The 21355-nt window shown below is 50.3% G+C and overlaps 1 protein-coding gene and 1 long non-coding RNA gene across 4 annotated transcripts, besides 2 other annotated features; one reads left to right on the top strand and one right to left on the bottom strand.

Annotated features, from left to right (window-relative positions):
• Positions 2823-3172: an enhancer, noted in NCBI's record as "active region_10821". NCBI's record gives its function as "activates an Ori minimal core promoter by ATAC-STARR-seq in GM12878 lymphoblastoid cells {active_cell/tissue: GM12878}" and the evidence as "EXISTENCE:reporter gene assay evidence [ECO:0000049][PMID:35858748]".
• On the top strand, positions 5876-20888 carry SNX20 (sorting nexin 20). 3 transcript variants are annotated; one of them, NM_001144972.2, is made up of 4 exons: positions 5876-5998; positions 9653-9791; positions 11267-11418; positions 19147-20888. In NM_001144972.2, the coding sequence occupies exons 2-4, from the start codon at positions 9662-9664 to the stop codon at positions 19171-19173; spliced, it is 309 nt and encodes a 102-aa protein (NP_001138444.1). In that variant the 5' UTR covers positions 5876-5998; positions 9653-9661; the 3' UTR covers positions 19174-20888. The 3 variants fall into 3 exon arrangements, with proteins under 3 accessions (NP_001138444.1, NP_699168.1, NP_878274.1); NM_153337.3 differs by having other exon boundaries at positions 18040-20888; NM_182854.4 differs by lacking the exon at positions 19147-20888 and adding an exon at positions 13114-15559.
• On the bottom strand, positions 15549-18333 carry LOC101927272 (uncharacterized). Its single transcript, NR_110908.1, has 3 exons — positions 18028-18333; positions 16195-16505; positions 15549-16040 (listed from the first exon to the last, which is right to left on the bottom strand). It is a non-coding gene; the product is annotated as an uncharacterized LOC101927272 (long non-coding RNA).
• Positions 19887-20406: an enhancer, noted in NCBI's record as "active region_10820". NCBI's record gives its function as "activates an Ori minimal core promoter by ATAC-STARR-seq in GM12878 lymphoblastoid cells {active_cell/tissue: GM12878}" and the evidence as "EXISTENCE:reporter gene assay evidence [ECO:0000049][PMID:35858748]".
• Positions 20889-21355: the final 467 nt, after the last annotated feature.

Here is a 21355-nt window from a genome sequence, read left to right as displayed (position 1 = left end):
GCTCAAGCGATTGTCCTGTCTCAGCCTCCCAGGTAGCTGGGACTACAGGCATATGCCATCATGCCCAGCTAATTTTTGTATTTTTAGTAGAGACAAGGTTTCAGCATGTTAGCCAGGTTGGTCTCAAACCCTTGACCTCAGGTGATCTGCCTGCCTTAGCCTCCCAGGCTAGGATTACAGGCGTAAGCCACTGCGCCCTATCCATGGGTGACTTACTGACAGAGGGACAATGCTTGAAAGAAGGACACATTGGAGCAGGCAGCTCTCCACAGAGCAGCCTCCAGCCTGGGAACCTGACGTGCCTGCATCTCTTGGGCAGCCTCTGAGGTTGCCCCATTCCTACCTCAAGACCAGACCCAGCATTCTGTCACTTCCCCACCTCAGGTCCTAACCCAATTCCAAGCTCATCAGTACATTGGGCAGGAAGATCAGACACCTGAAAACACAATCCAGCTCCCCTGCCTAAGCCTCCTCCTGAGACCCCGTGCTGTGCCTCCTCTCTCTCCTTCCCTTCCGCCTTATTGTTTCTAGAATCACCCCTCTGTTCTCAAACCCTGCCATTCTAGCCCCAAGCTTACAAACCCCACTTCAGCAAAATAAAATGTTCCATTGGCTGAGGGTGTTGTCTTTGAAAATCAGTTTCTCACTCCTCCATTATTAATTAACTCACAGAAGACCATATCATTCTTCTTTTCCAATGTGTGGACACAAGTGCCAACTTCATCTGCATGGTCAGAAGTGCCGGGTTGGAACAGAAGAGCCAGGGCTGGATTTTTAGCATTACTGCTGCCTTTTTTTTTTTTTTTTGAGGTAGAGTCTCACTCTGTCGCCCAGGCTGGAGTGCAGTGGTATGATCTCAGCTCACTGCAACCTCTACCTCCTGGGTTCAAGCAATTCTCCTGTCTCAGCCTCCTGAGCAGCTGGGACTACAGGCATGCATCATCATGCCCAGCTAATTTTTGCATTTTTAGTAGAGACCGGGTTTCACCATGTTGGCCAGGATGGTCTCGATCACCTGACCTCGTGATCCGCCACCGTGCCCGGCCCACTGCTGCCCTTTTTTAGGTCCTCTGTGCAAGGCACATACCTTAAAATGATTTACAATGGACCTGATGGCCCTTAACCCCACCCAAACTGCTCATCAGCACCTTTGCCCAAACAGATGTCCCAAGAATGGGAGGTGTATGTTCTCCTGATCAGAAAAGTTGGATTTTCTCCTAATCTTAGCCATGAATCTTTACACAATCAGCAGTTCTGACAGTCCTGAGGTTGACAAAGACCAGGAAGTTCAGTAATGGTGACTGAAGCTCCCGCGGCCTGCAATGTAGAAATAAATGGGCCTGTACCCAGCCCCACCCTGCCATGTCTCAATATAACCACAGCGGTGCCCCACAGTGCATTCTGTCTGCAACCCCAGTTTTTAAATCCTGCAATATTAAGAACCTTTGAAATTTAATAAAAAGCTATACAGGCACATCCAGCTGCAGAAAAACAAGATTGACAAGATCAAATTTTGTGTCACCTGCGAAAAACACCTGGCCAGTTGTGGTTTGCTCTACCAGCGCTGAGAGGCACACCTGGGACCGATACACTCTTGTTGAATTTCTCAAAGAAGGCGTACCAGTGTTGCAGTTCCAAGCATGTCAGGCATCCAGAGCGGTAGTGAGGGGTAGCTTCTAGTACTCAATTGTTTGCTCAATGTAGAATGCTTTGGTGGTAAAAGGACATCATTTAATTTCATGTTGCAATTAGGGAAGCCAAAAATCAGACAGGGTGGTGGCCTGCCCAGAATCACACAATGAGTCAGGGCTGAGCTGCAGCCACAGCCTCGGTGACCACTTCTCTGCATTCACCCCGCCATTCATTCATGCACACAATGACTTACTGAGCACCCACTATGTGGCAGGCACTGTGCTGGGTGCTAGAGACACAGATAATGATACAGACAAAGTCCCTGCCATTGTGGCATTTGAGACAGGAACTGCACAAGTATACAAATAAGCAAAACAAGGACAGATCTCGACAGAGGGGTCAGAAGAAGGCTGCATGGAGGAGCGAAAGTGAAGCTGCTGCTTCATGAGATGAGATGAGATGATGAGATGAGATGAGATGAGATGAGATGAGATGAGATGAGATGAGATGAGATGAGATAAGCCAGAGATGGAAAAACCAAGCGGAGGGTATTTCCAGCTGAAGGAACTGCGAAAACAAAGGCACGTTTGAGCAACAGAGAGCAGTCTGGGTTGGCTGGTGTGTGGTAGGTGACACTGGGAGTGGACCGAGTGACAAACGGTAAGCGGCAGATCATGGAAGCCTCAGCAGAGAGTTCGGATTTACTCTGAATGTGGTGGGAGGCCACTGAAGGGTCCAAATAAGATGGAGAGGTGCTCTGATTTTGAATTCTAGGAGAGGCATCAGATTCTGAGACACTACTAGTATTTCCCCTTTCTCACTCCTGGTGCCTCGTGGTGACCCTCCTCGCCATCTGGCTTCAGCGCTGCAATGGAGGATGCCCACTCCTGTGTCCCCCGCATGACGATGGGACCTTGTCTGCCTGTTATGAACTGAGTATGTGGCCTCCAAGTTCATATAGTTCATATATTGAATTCCTAATGAAAAAGGTGAGGCCTTTAAGAGGTAATTAGGCCATGAGGTTAGAGATCCCTGAGCACTCTCTAGCCCTCATTCTGCCATGGGAGGATAGAACAAGAAGGCAGCCATCTGCAAACCAGGAATCAAACCCTCCCCATATACTGAATCTGTTAACACGTTGATCTTGGCCTTCCCAGCCTCCAAAACTGTGGGAAAGAGATGTCTGTTGTTTAGGCCGCCCAGTCTGCGGTGTGTTGCTACAGCAGCCCAAGCTAAGACACTACCTATGCCTTCTGCCTCCACCACAGAGAACTCTGGCTGCAGAGAAAAAGCAACATCCAACAGGTGGCCATGCGTGGCATCTTCCGGTCACTCTGGCTCAGCTGGGTCCTACCGACATAGGCCAGGCCCCTCTCCATCAGGGGGTTTCCAAGAAACGTCTCCTTTCCCCATAAGAGGAAGTGGCGGCAACCACACATTTTTCCCCTGTGGTTGCCTTCTGCAGCATGAGAGGCTCACAGGGCTGCAGAGAAAGGCTTAGAGTCCACCCTGGTGTCTTGCAGATTCCAGGCCTGGGCAGAGAGTAGGCGAGAAAACTGGAAAGTTACGGGACACAACCCAGGGAGGAGAGGGCATTCCAGCCTCACTGTATGCAGGGAGCCACACCACCAGGCCCTCTGCTGGGCAGGGGGAGGCGGAGATGACCGACCTATGGCCCCTGCACTTACGGGGTGCCCCAGCTAGCAGGCCAGAGGCACACCACTCATGGCACTCCTCGTGAGCTCTGCCCAGAGACAGACCTTTGCAGATGTGGAGGTTCTTAATGACAGTGACGGCACTGCAGAGAGGTGGAATTGCAGGGCCATGTCAATAAGCAAGGTCAATAGGTAAACAGGGACATTATAGAGCCTCCAATGAAAAAGACAAGCAGCAACGGTTTTAGAATAGTAAGAACTGCCAGCACTTGTACAGCTCGGAACAGTGTTGTTCTAAGTGTTTGGCTCATCTGAACTCCTCTTGAGGTTCACAAGCCTATGAGCTTGTTGCAGAAGCAAATACAGGAGAAACCTTCATGCCCTCCAAGGATGACACTGGCTCAAGGCGGAATGTTTTGGCACTAGGAGGACTTCATTAAATTTCATGTTGCAATTAGGAAAGTTGAAATTCAACCATATCAAAGGACTAATATGGTTCTTTAAAGTTGACAACTTCTATTCGTCACAAAACTCCATTAAGAGAGTACAAAATGCAAACTGCAGGATGGAAAAGGATATTGAGAAGCACATAAACCCAAATGAATACATAAAGAACACCTACAAACCATTAAAAATAATCAAGTCAATAATGAGCAATGACCTTGAACAGACACTTCATTGGAGAAGGTATAAGGATGGCAAATAAGCCCATGAAAAGATGCTCAACATCATTAGTCCTTAGGGAAATGCAACTTAAAACCTTGATGAGAGACCACTGCACATTAATGCAGTGGTACACTGAAAAACACTGACCAAACCAGACACAGTGGCTCACATTGGTAATCTCAGTACTTTGGGAGCCCAAGGCAGGAGGATTGCTTGGGGCCAGGAGTTCAAGACCAGCCTGGGCAACATAGTGGCCATGATGGTCTATCCCTCCAGAAACAAAAAAAATTTATTAGCCAAGCATGGTGACGTAACTGTAGTCTTAGCCACTCAGGAGGCTGAGGTGGGAGGATCATTTGAGCCCAGGAGTTCTAGGTTGCAGTCAGCTATGATGGTACCATTGCACTCCAGCCTGGGTGATAGAGCAAGACCCCATCTTTAAAATAATTATAATAATGACCATATCAAGTGCAGGTAAGAAGGTGGAGCACCTGGAATTCTCATATACTGCTGGTGGGAATACAAAATGGCACAGCCACTGTGGAAAATATTTGGCGTAATCTAGCACAGTTGAAGCTATCTATACTCTGAGACCCAGCAATTTCACCTCAGATAAGTACATGGACTTGGATAAATGTGTAAGAATATCATCAGTGGCATTGATCATGATGGCCACCCTAGGAACAACCCAAGTGTGCATCAAAAGACAAAACAAAAAATGACAAATGGTGATGTATTTAAATAATGAAGCAACAGAAAACCAAACACAGCATGTTCTCACTCATAAGTGGGAGTTGAACAGTGAGAACACATGGACACAGGGAGGGGAACATCACACGCTGGGGCCTGTCAGGGGTGGGGGCCAGGGGGAAGGAGAGCATTAAGACAAATACCTAATGCATGCAGGGCTTAAAACCTAGATGATGGGTTGATAGGTACAGCAAACCACCACGGCACATATATACCTATGTAACAAACCTGCAGGTTCTACACTGGTATCCCAGAACTTAAAGTAAAATAAATAATAATAATAATGTAGCAACACAACAATGGAAATGAAAAAAAGTATCTACACAGAAATGCATCAGTGAATCTTATACCCATAAATGTTGCATGAAAGAAGCAAGGCACTGGAGAATACACACAGTATGCATGGTTCAATTTATATAAGATTCACAGATGAGTAAAATGAAACTGAATTGTTTGGGGATCTCATAGGTGGTAAATTTCTAAGGAAAAGCCAAGAAGTAACCCCCATCTGAATCAGGACTGTGACTGCCTCTAATAGGGAGGAAGGGAATCATGGCTCAAAAAAAAACACATGGCAAACTTCTGGGCGAGCCAGCAAAGTTCTATTTTTTTTTTTTTTGTCTGATTTCTGTTTCTTGCCTTCAAGGCCACAAAGATGGGTGGGCATGAATCACACCACACTGCCCTGGGGTTTCGCTTCCCTGGGACTTTCTGTTGGTGGTGATGGATACAGCTTTGCTCAGAGAAAAGGCACCAGATGGAACTGTAATTCTACCCCACTGCTCTTCTATGTCAGTCACTGGCTCTGTGTCCCACCAGCTCTGTGATCCAAGCCTCGGTTTTCCCATCTGTTCAAGGGGCATGACGGCCCCCATCATGCCTAGCTCATAGAGTAGAATAATGAATGTTAAAGGGCTCTGGGAGCTAATGCCTGAATTCCAGAGATCAACGGGGACTCGAAGGACAGCCAGACCTCTGCAAGGCGGCAGGGAAAGTGAGGCTGAGCTAAATCCCACAGGGCTGGCCCCACACCGCCTTGCCCTTCCCTGCGCTACCCGGAAGAAGAGGTGGGTACAGCTGGCAGGCTGGCAGTTGAGTTCAATATACCATGTTTCACCAGCCAATGGGCTGGGGCGATCAGAAGCAGGTCACACAGCCTGTTTCCTGTTTTCAAACGGGGAACTTAGAAAGTGGCAGCCCCTCGGCTTGTCGCCGGAGCTGAGAACCAAGAGCTCGAAGGGGCCATATGACACTCCTCCCGGACCCCTGGACACACACAGCCCTGGAGACTGGAGGTCAGTATTTGATCCCAAGCTCAGCTGTCCTCTGCCTGCTGTGGCCTGAGTCCCCTTCTCCTGGGGCCCTGCCTGGCACCTGCTGGGGGCAGGGTGGGAGGGGGAAGAGTTAGTGACAGCCACTGTGTCTGGAGCTCTCCTTAGCACACTGAGGCAGAGGAAGGGACAGCTCCTGGACCTTCCATCACCTCCATTCCTTTTGAAATGCTAGGCGCTTGTACAACCCATCTTGGGCCTGGAGAATAAGTCACCACACCTGTGTTTCTCAAAAGAACAGTGTCAGGGAACCCCTGCCTCAGCACAGCCTTAGAGGACTCATGGAAAATGCAGAATCCAGGCCTGTTCAATGGCACCTTCCTATGTTAGCAGCCAGGAAACCTGCTCTTGGACAAGCCCCTGGGATCCCACCCCCACCCCACCAGGGGATTCTTACACACACTGGGTTGGGAGCCCCTGGCTTTGGCAAGGCTTCTCAGGTGAGCGTCCAGTTGTTGGAGGGTACCCACCCTTTCCCCAAGAGAGGCAGCCACACATCCAACATCCTGGGATCTCTGTCTCCCAGCGTGGGCCATGTGCTTTATTTCACCCCCTAGAGGCTCATCCCCCATGAAAAGTCCTCCGCAGGCCCTCAGAAAGATAGTGTGGCCTCTGTGTGCCCAGCAGAAGAAGGACTGGACTTGGCAGTCAGCTCTTGGAGAGGGGGTGGTTAGGACACCTGGGGACAGGAGGAGGAGAATGACTGTCTGTGCACACACGGCTGGAAGGCAGAGGAGGCTGGGAAGCTGCTCTGTCCCCTGGGCCAACTACAGGCCCCCAGGCCAACAGCAACAACACTTTTAGTATTTTGTTATAAAGTCAAGAAATCTTTGCTACAGAGGGTGAGGAGAGGGAAGGAAAGGGCCATGGAACCGTCTATGTGGCTATCCCCAGAGAGCTTTTAGAGTGACAGGATTGCTTTCCCATTTCACAGATGAGGAAACTGAGGCCTGGAGAGGGATGGGAAGCTACCCAAGGCCCCATGGATACACCAGTGCACAACTCTTTCCTTCCCCCTCCTCTTTAAATGGGTGACTCCCAATGAAACCTGTAAGAGACAACCATAAGGGAGCTGACTGTGGCTGCTGAATTTGATTTTATTCTAAGGCCTGGTTTTATAATCAGCTTTCTCAGTCTTTACTGGAGTGTCAAGCCGAGGCATCATTTCTAGGGTCTTACAGGGTCTCTGGGCCAATAGTGCCCTGCTTCTGACCTGGAGCCAGCTGCCTGGTCATGAAAGCAGATCTGCAAAGGCTGGGGCCCCTGAGGCCAAGGCCACTCGCCATCACCCATTTTACAGAAGTGCTGAGCATAGGAGTGCCCTGGGCCCCCAAGAATCCCAGCCACCAAGAATCACGTAAACCATCCACTGTCTCACTTAGGCACCAGTCAGAATGTAGGGAACCCACCCCTAGTCATCCATCATCTTATCAACAGGACGGGGCTTGTAGCCACATTTATCAGGTAGGGAAACTGAAGCCTAGAGATATTAAAGCACTTGCTTAAGGACACACGGTTGGTCAGGATGGAAGGCGATGTCTCCTGACTCCCTGACAGGCACAAGAGACAAGCGAGAGGTGCCCGTGACGGCATGCTCAAGAACGTGCAGCCCTGGGCCAGCCAGGCCCCTGCTCCGTGCCTCTGTTTGCCCATCTGTAAAAGGTGAGGTTGGATCGAGGGTCCCTGAGGGCCGCCCACTGGATGGCTGTGCAGAGCCAAACGGAGAAGGCCCCAGGGTTCCTTTCACCCGACACAGCAAGCACTTCCCCCTGAAGTGCAGGCTCCAGGCCCCAGCTGACCTCCCCTCTCCCAGGCCAGCGGCTCTCACCCCTGGAGCAAGGGACAGGCGCTGGCTGTGCTCAGGGACATGCATGACTCCCGCCCCCATCTGTGCTCAGGGGGTGCCAGGGAGGCACTGGCTCTATCTTTCTCTAGGCCGTAGTCAGCCCAGGGGTTCAGACCAAGAGCCCAGAATCCAACAGATCAGAGTTCAAGTCCCAGCTCTACCTCTATGTTCCACTGGCAGCTTCCTCAGGTCATTTGCACCTTCCTTGTCTTGAATTTCCATGCCTAACCAGTCAGTATACCAGCTACTCCCTCCAGCCGATCTAATGTTTTAATTGTCCCTTTCTCTAAGTTGTCTCAAACATTTGTAATTCTATTCCAATCCACCTTAATTTAGTCATTTATTTCACAAATATTTCTGGAAACATCTAGCACTTAACAGACACTAAAAGCGGGGGTACTACACAGTCCCTGGGATGGACAGGGCCCTGAGCTGAGGCTTCAGAGTCTGCCTGACTGAATCCTCACCCCAGCCTTGTGAACGTGGGTTCTGTTATTATCCCCAATTTATAGGAAACAGAAGCACAGAGAAGTTGAGTCACTTGCCAGCTACCAGGTCATCCCTTCCACTTATCCGGGTCACAGACAGAGTTATTATGTAAACCAGATCCCAGCTGCCTGTTCTCCCTCCCTGAGTAAGGTGGAGAGAATTCTGAAGTCAGCCCAGCCTGGGTCTGTATCCTGCCCACCACTCACCAGCTCCTCATCTTTGGCAACTCTAAGTCTCAGTTCCCTTATCATAAAAGGGAGATGTAAACAGTCCTGAGTGCAGACAGTGTTCAGGTTAGTGCAAGAGTGTGTGCTGGGTGTGAAGTGCACAGCCAGCACGTCACAAGCACTGGAGACAAATTCAGCTTTGCTTGTTGCGCACACTCACCAGCTGCGTGACTTTAGACCTCAGTTTTCTCATCTGTTATGTGGTGGTAATGATAGACTTTTGTGAGCATTAAACTAGATTAGGGGCTATGGAGAACCTAGATGGGTATGAAGTGGGTATAATAAGCTATCAGTTAATTTTGCTGATAGATAGATTATTGATTGATTGATCGATAGAAGATTCATACCAGTATCTACCTGCTCTGAACACTGACCTTTCTTTTTTTCTTTTTGAGATGGTCTTGTTCTGTCACCCAGACTGGAGTGCAGTGGCATCATCATAGCTCACTGCAGCCTCAGTCTCTTGGGCTTAAGGGATCCTCCTGTCTCAGCCTCCCAAGTAGCTGGGACCACAGGCGTGCATCCTGGATAATTTTTTTTTATTTTTTCTAGAGACGGGGTCTCACTACATTGGCCAGGCTGGTCTCAAATTCCTGGGCTCAAGTGATCCTTCTAACCCAGCCTCCCAAAGCGCTGGGATTACAGGCATGAGTGGCCATGTTCAACTTGAACACTGAGACTTCATTCGCATGTGTAACATAAAACTGAGTATCTAGACAAGCCAGCATCTTTCTTTCAAGTAATCACTAAAGCCAATACTTTTACTTGAAATCATCTCATTTAAAACTCTGAGCAATACGTAAGGATCACCTCAATAACATATGGATCATCGCAATAGGTGAAGGGTCTTCTCTGCCTTGGAGTAACCTGCCCAGCAAAGGGGCAGACCCAGATTTGGGATCTGGCAGCTGGGAGAGTGGGGAAGGTTGAGCCGTGGGGCCCTTGTCATTCCCTCTGCCTGCCAGGAGGGGGCATGACACAGCTCCTAGGCACCCCAGGAGCCACCGGGAACCCCAACTGGAGTGGGTCCTCACTGTTCTCTTTTTCCTCTGGCAGCCTTGGAGCATGGCAAGTCCAGAGCACCCTGGGAGCCCTGGCTGCATGGGACCCATAACCCAGTGCACGGCAAGGACCCAGCAGGAAGCACCAGCCACTGGCCCCGACCTCCCGCACCCAGGACCTGACGGGCACTTAGGTGGGCTTGAGGCTTGAGACTCGGTCTGGGGGAGAGGTCTGAAGACATTCAAAGTACAAATGTGGGTCACTTTGGGGGATGCAGCAAGAGGCCCGGGCAGCTCTTGTAACTTGGGTTATCCCAAAACAGACACTGAGACACAGATCTAGTGCAAGCTGTTTATCCGGGAGACGGTCCTAGGAGTCATGGCAGGGGAGTGGGAATGGAAGGAAAGGGCAAGAGGCCAGGGCAGGACATCAGTGAACAGATAGGCACGGTAGGTGGCTGAAGCTCAACCCCAGCGGGGGTCTTCTGGGAGACCCTGGAACATATCTCTGGGTTGTCCTATCCTAGGGGTGAGGAAGCCGGGCTGTTATCTACCAGTCCTGCCCTGCATAGGAGAAGGGACGCTCCTGGGCCTGCTGCTATGGCCCTAGAAAGCCCTCAGGGAAGCCAGTGGCATGTTCTGGAAAAGTGGGTGCCAAGAGGGCACGGTCCAGCCTGGGGCATGGACAGCATCTGCTGTAGTGCCATCTCCTGGAACAGATCTTTTCTTACAGTCCTTCGAGATGCCCTATTCAATACCTGCTCTGTTCCTGGCCCTATGCAGGGCACTGGAGAAACAGAAACAGGAAGAAATCAAACACTGCACTAGTCCTGAGGTTTGGTAGAGAAACAGATCAGTGAGAAACAGTTACACGTGCCACGAGAAATAAATAAATAAAATGAAAAACCTGTAGGAACAAGGTGGGAAGCTCTTACTCTAATGCCAAGGGGCATTTGCAGTGATGTGGGGGCTGGGTCTTGAAGGGTAGACTGGAAAAGGGCTGGGACCCATGCCCTTTGCAATAAAATGCACAATTATTTGTGCTTCTTAAGAACCTCAGAGTGGCGCAGGGCTCAAGTGGGGTTTAAGAAACACTGTGTTCGTTTTCCAGGCGTGGAAATAGAGGGTTGGATGCAAGGCAGAGCAGTGCACGTCCGAGAAGAGCCCGGCATGTGGGCAGTTAGATGAGAAGGTTAGGAAGGGCCAGCCCGCTGAGGCTGGAACATAACATCCTCCTCACTGCCTCCCCTGCCCACTGATGTGTGCTCAAGGAGTCGTGGCAACAGTCACGAAGTCAGGGCTGCAGGGAGCACAGAAACACACAAGCCACCGTCTCTGCTTGTCCAGAGCAGGGATTTCACCATGGCCAATCTACAGACCAGAAGTGGACGATGCAAAGTGCCCGCACCGCATTCCAAAGCTGTGAAACCACTTGGGGGTGATGGGCTATTTGGGATTGTCGGTGGTAGGGTGGATTCTGCCAGGCTGGGCACAGAGGTCTGTCTGATGCCCCAATTGGGCCTATAAATGGCGGGGTGGGAGAGAGGGATATTCAATACTCTTCAGGAGTTCTGATATGCCATCTCAGATAGACCCAGCCATCTCCCCAAGCCCATGCCTCGGAAGTGCACTGACAGGGTGCAGATCCTTAAGGGTGTTGTCCTTCCAGACACACACAGTGGCCTGAGCTCCAACTCCAGCATGACCACGCGGGAGCTTCAGCAGTACTGGCAGAACCAGAAATGCCGCTGGAAGCACGTCAAACTGCTCTTTGAGATCGCTTCAGCTCGCATCGAGGAGAGAAAAGTCTCTAAGTTTGTGGTAAGCAGAGATTGGGAAATGGTGGAGCCTCTTTCACTCTGCTTCCTTCCTGGCCCTGAATAAGTCTTGTAGAGCCTCAGGTTTCCCAACTATGAAATGGGTCAACACACTAACTCACAGCTTTCTTCTGGAGAAAATGGCCAAAGAGCAAGATTTCAGGCTCAGCACCTGCTAGGGTCTGTGAGGATTCGAACCATATAAGTCATATTTCTTGGTCCCAAGAAGGAAATAGCCCAGTTTAATCCCATCTTATCAGGTGTCAGTCACCTGTGTCCTTTCTTCACCAATTTTGCCATATCACTGTATCTGTTCTAATTATTATTACTTATTTTTTTCTTTAAATTGGATCACTTTTTAAAAACATGAAGCACATTTATTTCAAAGAGAAATACCTTAAATGGAAAACCAATATCACATGGCACAAAGCAAAAGTAACATACTAGAAAAGTCGATACAAGGAAAGTCAATACAAGGAAAGCTATGTGCTGTTATTAAATTCTAGCTGGTTACTGTGGCTTCGGGAAAGCCCTGTGCCTGGGAGCTGCTCCTCTCCCTGTTAGAATGGAATTTTAGCTTGTGTTAAGGGATGTTAAAGACTGCCTAAGAGCCACACTTCATCCTTCTCCTTCACTTACCTGGGACCGGGATAAATAACATAGCTACCACTGAATGCCAATGGCATGCCGGGCACAGCTCCATGTGGTTTCAGTGCATTAACTCATTTAATCCTCACTGGGTGAGGTAGGCACTATGCCTATCCTTGTTTTATGAATGAGAAAAGTGAGACTCGGAGAGGTTAAATTACTCATCTAAAACCACACAGCTAGACCATGGTAGGGCTATAATTACAACCCATGCAATCTGGCTCTGGAGTCAGATGCATGGGTTATAATTGCCCTTAATATATAATTGCCCGTAATCAGGATTCTCTTGAAAGATGATTGAAAAGGATTGATTTTCTTACCATATAACGGCATCACCAGTGTACCTAAATGATGTTATATTGTACGTAAAACTAATTCCCAAGTGTGAAACATTTGGAAAACACAGCATCTCAGTTCAGAAAACAGAGGCCCAGTTTTAGCAAGTAAAGCCAAGAGGGACCCCAGCAGCCTGCAGGGCAGGACCCTCTGCCCTTTCTCCTCCCAGATGTCCCCACCTTGCTGTGTTGTTGTTCCAGGGTTGACTCAGCTGATGCCAATAGCAATTTAAAACAGAATTGGGCCAGGTGCAGTGGCTCATGCCTGTAATCCCAGCACTTTGGGAGGCCCAGGTAGGAGGATCGCTTGAGCCCAGGAGTTGGAGACCAGCCTGGGCAACACAGCCAGACCCCATCTTTTAAAAAAAATCAAAAAATCTGCCAGGTAGTGGGTGTGCCTGTAGTCCCAGCTACTCAGGAGGCTCAGGTGGGCAGGTCAATTGAGCCCATAAGTTCAAGGTTGCAGTGAGGTATGATCGCATCACTGTACTCCAGCCTGGGTAACAGTGCGAGACCCTGTCTCTAAAAATAAATAAATAAATAAATAAATAAATAAATAAACAAACAAACAAACAAACAAACAAACAATTGCATATAAGGATCGCCCGTTTTCAGGGCATGCTTTACACCGGCCTGGTTAACTTTACTCTGGGTGTGCTCCGTCCGCCGCAGCCCCCGCCGGGAGGTGGCCACAGCTCTCTCTGGTTGCGCCCTAGGTGTACCAAATCATCGTCATCCAGACTGGGAGCTTTGACAACAACAAGGCCGTCCTGGAACGGCGCTATTCCGACTTCGCGAAGCTCCAGAAAGCGCTGCTGAAGACGTTCAGGGAGGAGATCGAAGACGTGGAGTTTCCCAGGAAGCACCTGACTGGGAACTTCGCTGAGGAGATGATCTGTGAGCGTCGGCGCGCCCTGCAGGAGTACCTGGGCCTGCTCTACGCCATCCGCTGCGTGCGCCGCTCCCGGGAGTTCCTGGACTTCCTCACGCGGCCGGAGCTGCGCGAGGCTTTCGGCTGCCTGCGGGCCGGCCAGTACCCGCGCGCCCTGGAGCTGCTGCTGCGCGTGCTGCCGCTGCAGGAGAAGCTCACCGCCCACTGCCCTGCGGCCGCCGTCCCGGCCCTGTGCGCCGTGCTGCTGTGCCACCGCGACCTCGACCGCCCCGCCGAGGCCTTCGCGGCCGGAGAGAGGGCCCTGCAGCGCCTGCAGGCCCGGGAGGGCCATCGCTACTATGCGCCTCTGCTGGACGCCATGGTCCGCCTGGCCTACGCGCTGGGCAAGGACTTCGTGACTCTGCAGGAGAGGCTGGAGGAGAGCCAGCTCCGGAGGCCCACGCCCCGAGGCATCACCCTGAAGGAGCTCACTGTGCGAGAATACCTGCACTGAGCCGGCCTGGGACCCCGCAGGGACGCTGGAGATTTGGGGTCACCATGGCTCACAGTGGGCTGTTTGGGGTTCTTTTTTTTTATTTTTCCTTTTCTTTTTTGTTATTTGAGACAGTCTTGCTCTGTCACCCAGACTGAAGTGCAGTGGCTCAATTATGTCTCACTGCAGCCTCAAACTCCTGGGCACAAGCAATCCTCCCACCTCAGCCTCCCAAGTAGCTGGGATTACAGGTGCACACCACCACACCAGGCTAATTTTTAATTTTTTAGTAGAGACAGGGTCTCTCTGTTGCCCAGGCTGGTCTCTAACTTCTGACCTTAAATGATCTTCCTGCCTCAGCTTCCCAAAACACTGGGGTTACAAGTGTGAGCCACCACCCCTGGCCTGGGGTTCATTTTTAATGGGAAAAGCCACTGGGGGCTCTAACTCGCTGGGTGACTTTGGACAAGCCCCTCCTCTGGTCCTCAATTTCTCCATCTGTATTGGACAGAGGTGCTCCTGGGACCCCTTGGAAGCCTCTGCTTGTGTCCCACGTCCTCTTGATGCCAGGGCCACTTCATCTCCAAAACACAAAACCAACTGCCAAAACCGTCCAGAGCAGTGTCCACCCCACCAGTGTCTTTGTGGGAAGCTGGAGAAGAAGTTTACCTCACACATTCTAGACAAAACTTAGTCCATTTCCTTGAAGACAGTTCTCTCCAGCTGCTCCAAGGCTTTTCTCTCTGTTCCTTCCACCTTGGAATTGCTTTAAAATATTTCCATCCATTATCCTAATACTATCTTAGTATTCTAGCCCTTCCCCCTTACCATGTAGACCTGACAAAGCAAAACAAAAGCTCACCTATTGCCCTCAAGAACAGCCTCTACACACACACACACACACACACACACACACACACACACACACACGGTGGGAGTTGTATGCCATCCTTTTGAAGGGTGGGAGGACCCTGGACCAGAAAGCAATAATGGCATAAGATTCTGTGATACCAGGCATTTTTGGCAAGGGAAGTTGCCAACAATTTTTCTGGCTGGGATGGCATAGCACATTGTCTAGGGGTGGATTTTCATTCATAAGGCAGCTGTTCCCTGAATGGCTTCCCTGGGTTATGTAGAAACAGCCTGGGGAGGAGGTGATACAACATACTTAATGGGGCCTCTGGGCAGAAAACAGACTGAATCCTCAACACTGCCCCTTTTGAGGGTCTGTGATCCTGGAACTTCTCTGATGGACTGGGATGCCCTTAACTGAGGTCTGCTGTCTGGAAAGGACACCACAGGCCCAGAATGAAGGGGCATCTGGACCAATGACCTAGATTCAACACAGGGCTTGGAGCTGGTGGTACAGGCTGGTTTTGGCCCAATGTGTGTTGGAGGCTGGAAGCCCCTGAAGACCTAAACTGCCTGGATGAGCTTATTAGGGTGAATTAATGAGTCTGTAATTTGGGAACCTTAATGTGAGACACCACTTAAGGAGAGGAACTTGGCCCAGCAAGTGATCACTCTAGAAGTGGACAGCTATGCACTAGACTGCACCAGAATCTGTTCAACAGCGACACCTTGTGGTAAAAACTGTAGACGCCCCATCAGGCTGGATGGGAAACTAGAAACAGACTGTCTCATCTTTGGACAGATATCCCTCAAATCTCCCAATCTACTCCAGGGAAAAGACACTTCAAGTGAGAGATATTGGACTTCTTGAAAATCTAGGCCTATGGAAAATTAAAGTGTTAAATGGAAAAATTAAAGAGCTATGAGTCTATTTGTAATGATGAAACAGATGATATTGATTTTGTCAGTTATTTCTTCAAATCTAAAATGCTATCAACAATATGCAACAAATGTTTACTAACAAAGAAAAAATACCCAACATGGACAGTTTAATGGGATATTCCAGCACAAAAGCTGGAAAAGCAAAGAGTTAGACCCCCGATATGAGGGTTAACACCAAATAAGCCTGTTGTACAGGAGGGGACATTAAGGAAATTTGCACAAACTAAACTTGGCACTGGGTGGAGTACAGGGAACTTCCTCTGAGAATTTGAACTGCAAGCGGGCACTCGCCCATGTTTTAGGGCTGAATACACACAGCATGGTCCAAAATCCCTCAAGCAGAGAAATCATGTTAAAGTGGTCTCAGGTGGAGGTGTTCCAGGTGCCTCAAGACCTGGAGATCTTTAGGTCTTCCCTGGGGCTGAAGGATGTCAGCATCAAGCCAGGCCTATAAGAAGTGTAGGATCCTGTTGAGTTCAGAGGTGCTGAAATGTGAAAAAAAAAAGTCATCTCAAAATCACAGATAGATGATATGTGTGGGGTGTTGGGGGGGTGGGGCGGGGGGTGCACACAGAGAGAAAATACTTATATGGGAGTAAAGGAGCCTATAGAATCACATGGGGGGTTCCCCATAAGTACCTCTGAAGAGGGGTTGGCTTCCCACACAGTGCACAGGAAATGGATTTATTCAGGCTTCCCAAAAAGGGACTGGCCACATGGGGCAGCTTCAGGACCATCACTTTGCCTTTTCCCGATGACACTCAATGCTGCCCCTCCTCGTGCTTCTGGCAGCCTTGGCCTGAGCATCCACGGGAGTTTCTTCTGGCCATGGACACTGCATCTTCATCCACTACAAGTTGTCTGATGGACTGGGATGGCCTGCCACAGCCAGCTCCTCCTGGCATCTCCCATATGCTGCAGCAGTTAGAGCCCACTCGTTCCTTGGGTTCCTGGAACAAGTCCTTGAATTCCTTAGGCCCCCACCTCCAGCAAGCTTTCCGCAGGGCCCACTGCAGCCCCACCGGGGTACCCCACCTCCCTGTTTGCCTGGGCCCTCTCCCACGCCACCTGTATTAGTCCTTGTTTCTAGGGGACTTTAGAGTGGTGGCAGCTGGGACTGAACATTCTTCTCCTGACCCCTCAAAAGCTGGGTCCACAGGAGAGGTGAGGGGGTACCTGACCTCCATACCCAGGATGGAGCCTTGTTAGGAACACAGAATTTCAGGCCCCACCCTAGACCTGCTTAATCGGAGTCTGCACTTTAACAAGAGCATCCCCCACTGCCGCAGGTGACTCTTACCTGCATACCTCAAAGGTTGAGAAGCCCAGTGTTGAACTGACTTGAAGGCACCTCAATGAAAATCATCCATGGAACTGGGCCATCTGTGGTCCTGGGTTCATCCCCATCCTTCTCTTCTCTCCACCCGGGCCCTCTACCATACAGGTGCCTCATCCCAGGGGACTGCAGATGGGACTACCATGCCAGCCTCACAACCATACCTGCAAAACCACTCTGGGCATTTGGACTGGAGCTTAAAGGGGTTCATTCCAATGAAGCCCTCCCTGCTGCAGCAGCCACTCCCCCCCACTGGCTGTGATGGAGTCCTGGGGTCTCCACTTTGAGCTGGGATTAGGCATCCTCATGAGACCCTGTCCCCTGGGATGCCGGCAGTTCCCTGCCAAGCCCACAATTGAAAACAAGCTCTGCAAGCAGCTCCCTGTGCGGTAAAAGTCAGGGCTCCCCAGGCCTACTGTGTGACCAGGCACTGCCGGGCCATTGATAGCACCGTCACTCCAGCTCTGCTTGGGACATGTTCCTATCCCATTTTTCAGTTGAGGAAAATGTGATCATTTGTAACATTGTAACCTGAGGGGGTTAAGTGACTTGCCCAGGGTTACACAGCTAATAACTGGACCAGGAAATTAAGACCAGGCTTTAATTTGACCCAAGCCCTACTTTCCTTGCTGAACTCCACATTAAAGGATGTGGAGGAGAGGGGAAGGGATATGTTCCTGGTCCCCTCACCGAAATGGGTCCTTGATATGGTTTGGATGCATGGTGGTCACCTCCAAATCTCATGCTGAATGTGACTCCCAGTGTTGAAGGTGTGGCCTGGTGGGAGATGTTTGGCTCATGGGGGCAGGTCCCTCATGGATGGCTTGGTGCCCTCCCCGTGGTAATGAATGAGTTCTCACTCTGTTAGTTTACATGAGAGCTGGTTGTTTAGAAGAGCCTGACATGGCTCTTGCTCCCTCTCTTGCCATGTAAGTCACGAACTCCCCCTTCCCCTTCCACCATAAGTGGAAGCTTCCTGAAGCTTCACAAGAAGCAATGCTGGTGCCATGCTTCTGTACAACCTGCACAACTGTGAGCCAAATAACCCTCTTTTCTTTATAAGCTACCCAACCTCAGGTATTCCTTTATAGCAATGCAAAATGGACTGACACGCCTTTAAAGATCATTTCACTCACCTCTGTTTACAGATGGGGAAATCAAGGCCTGGAGAGATGACTTATCCAGGGTCACGTGGCGAGACAGGGACAGCACCAGAACCAGACCCGAGATGTCCACGTCAAAGTGACATGCTCTGAGAGGCAGCACACACAGAATAACCCTGCATCCAAATTCCAGGAAGCTCTTAGGGGTCATCCAGCTGGGCCTAGGGGTGCAGGGTCAGTGCTGAGGCCTGGGCAGGGCCGCTAGCCTCCCTGAGCTTTCTGGCTTCAGGCTGGGAGGCACAGTTCAGGGTGGACTGTGACCCCTTGGCCTAGAATGCCCTTAGCTCTGCTCTCTAGTGGCTGTCCCCATAGCTGGAACTCTGTTTTGGAGTGGCAAAACCAGTTCCACCTGCTGGTAGGGGTAGGTTGGCTCCCAACACATCCCCAGCAGGCCTCTCTTGGGCTCAAAAGCCAAGCTGTGCCCAGCCACGTCTCCAAATGCTTCCTGGCCCCCATGCAGCAACTGCATTTAGCTGCCTTCCCAGAATTTCCTGCATGCTCACACAGCCCTTCCCTCTGGGGCCCAACAATGCCACAGCCTGTTCTATCAATCACCAGCTGTTTTCCTTTGAGCAGTCTCCTTTTACTTATGCACATTTACTTGAAAAAGAAACTTCCTATTACTATCCTAAATGGAAACTCAGAATCACTTGCTATAATTAGAAAGTAGCTACAAAAATAAACACAATGAAACCGATCACTGTTATTACACCCTAACCCGCTTTTACCTGAGACAGGCCCTGAGCCTGAGGCCGCTGGTAGACTTTTGTTAAAAGAGAGAGAGACAGAGACAGAGAAATAAGCATTAGAGACCTGCAATCACCAAGCTGAGACTTCTCTTTGATTTACTCAGAAGGACTGGAAAATGTTGTCCTGCAAAAGGAGGTAAGTTTCTCACCACGTAGCGCTGATCATCCCGTGTTGCCCGTGCGTTGCTGCAGACCATCTGGGGTCTTGCCCAAGCACCCTGGAGACTTTGCTCCCTGGTTTCCTGGTCACCAACTCGAGTGTTCAGCCCTGTGTGCTCTCCAGCTCCTAAGTCGTGGGCCTGGTTTCAGCTTTGATTGCCCACTCTTGGCTTTCAACCCGTAGGCTCCGGCTCCTGACGCCACACCCTGATATCAAGACCCTCAGATGGAGCGAGCGTTCTGGGCTGGTCGAAGCCTGAAGCCGCAGTATGTCCTTGAGTGGGTCCCCCCCTACCCATCTAGCTGTTGCCCCCATGGTAAGATCAAGAAAATGCCCTCCCCTCCAAAAGTCCCCACGCCGAGCCCTCATCTGTCAGCTCCCAGGCTCGGCCCCCTCACTAGCTCCAGGCTGGGAGGCACAGTTCAGGGCAGACTGTGGCCCCTCAGCATAGCATGGACTTAGCTCTGCTCTCTAGTGGCTGTCCCCATAGCTAGAACTCTGTTTTGGAGCAGCAAAACTAGTTCCACCTGCTGGTAGGGCTAAGTTGACTCCCAACATGTCCCCAGCGTGTTGGTGTTGGGAACCTTGATCTAGCTGCTCGTTTTCTCAGTAACCAAAGATCCCTGGCACTCCTACGATGTCTCAGGCCTTATCTAGAGCTGGGGATACAGCAGTGACCAGGACAGAACTGGTCCCTGCCTCACGGAAGTGAAGTGTCAGGAGGCCACTCCCAAAGCAAATGGAAGCTGGGACAGAATGATGTCCTCAGCCAGGTGGTCAGGGAAGGCTTCTCAGAGGGGGCGCTGTTCAAAGAATCACAGAGCATACAAAGGAGCTGGCCCTGGGAGCACAGAGAGGGGAGAATTTTAGGCAAAGAGGTAGCAGGAGCACAGCCCTGAGGCAGGAAACTACCCCCCCACCACCCTCGGCATCCTCAGTTCTGGTTTGCACCCAGAAAGGGGGTAGGTCCAGGACACACCCGGACTGATGTGTCACACTGGCTGTGCCAGCTGAGAGAGTGGGCTCCAGGCACCACTAACAGAGAAGCCTTGCAAGGCAGGTCCATGCACCGCCCGCCTCCAGTTACCACTCATTGCAAAGGAAATGAGCTGGGAGCCTGTGTGTGGGCCGTGCAGACCCTTTTGGTTACAAGCCACAAAAACCCAGGTTAATCTGATGAGGAAGGAATTTATTATCTGTAAAGTCCAGGAGCAGGCTAGCTTTACACCAAGCAGGATCCAAGGACCCACACTTGTCACCTCATATCTCTCTCTCTCTCCCACTTTCGCTTTCTCTGTCTCTTCTTAGTTCTGCTTTCCTCCACTGTGCCTTCGCTCTCAGAGAGAGCTCTCCCCTGGCAGTGACAAGATGGCTGCAGCAGCTCCAGCAACCTCAGAGGACTCCCCCATCCAGGGTCCTTGTGAGCTCCTCATCTGTAGGATGTGCAGTAAACACTCACGTGTCCTTTCCTGAGGAGCCCAGTGGCTGGGGTGGGGGCTGAGGGGCAGCCCCTATGCCCTCACAGTGCAGCAACCTTGGTTAGCTCACCCATCAGGGCAGACTTGGGCAGAAATCATGTCTTGGCATATTGTTTTGTAATCTGCTTTTTAAATTGTCACTATATATTATGAGCATTTCCCTATAATATACAATATTCTTCCACATTATGTTTAATGGTTTCATTGTATTCTAATGCATATTCTATAGTTATTTTAACCACCCCACAATGTTGCAAAATGTCCTTATTTGGGACAACACTGCTGCAAACACTTTGACCCATATGTCCTTTTTGTGTGCACTCTTATGGCAACTTCTAACGGTGGCATTTCTGAATCATAGACACTTTTTTGACTTCTACATATTTTATTTTTTTAGTTGACAAAAACTGTATTTATGAATCATAAACACTTAATGATTTTGCTATTACTTAATTTTTCTTTCTTCAGAAAGGCTGTATTCACTCCTCCCCCAGCTAAGTGTGAGAGAGGCCCTTGAACTTTGCATAACAGTGGCTGTCGGCATTTTAAATTTTTTTTTTTTTAGATGGAGTCTTGCTCTGTGGCCAGGCTGGAGTGCGGTGGCACGATCTTGGCTCACTGCAACTTCTGCCTCCTGGGTTCAACTGATTCTCCTGCCTCAGCCTCCCAAGCAGCTGAGATTACAGGCGCCCGCCACCACGCCTGGCTAATTTTTGTATTTTTAGTAGAGACAGGGGTTTTACCATGTTGGCCAGGCTGGTCTCGAACTCCTGACATTGTGATCCACTCACCTCGGCCTCCCAAAGTGATGGGATTACAGCTATGAGCCACCGCTCCTGGCCTTTAAACTATTTTTTTCTTTTTGAGACAGAGTCTCGTTCTTGTCTCCCAGCCTGGAGTGCAGTGGCGTGATA

Source organism: Homo sapiens, chromosome 16, assembly GCF_000001405.40.
Source record: "Homo sapiens chromosome 16, GRCh38.p14 Primary Assembly".
In the NCBI taxonomy this organism is placed as follows: domain Eukaryota; kingdom Metazoa; phylum Chordata; class Mammalia; order Primates; family Hominidae; genus Homo; species Homo sapiens.
Note: the sequence above shows the minus strand (reverse complement) of the source record. Positions and strands in the feature narration are given on the sequence as shown.

What these genes read in the sequence shown, in the direction of transcription:
- SNX20 (NM_182854.4), top strand. Translation starts at nt 9,662, where the DNA reads ATGGCAAGTCCAGAGCACCCTGGGAGCCCTGGCTGCATGGGACCCATA. An exon ending in AGGACCTGACGGGCACTTAG is followed by an intron (nt 9,792 to 11,266) that starts GTGGGCTTGAGG and finishes TTGTCCTTCCAG; the next exon opens with ACACACACAGTGGCCTGAGC. An exon ending in GAAAAGTCTCTAAGTTTGTG is followed by an intron (nt 11,419 to 13,113) that starts GTAAGCAGAGAT and finishes GTTGCGCCCTAG; the next exon opens with GTGTACCAAATCATCGTCAT.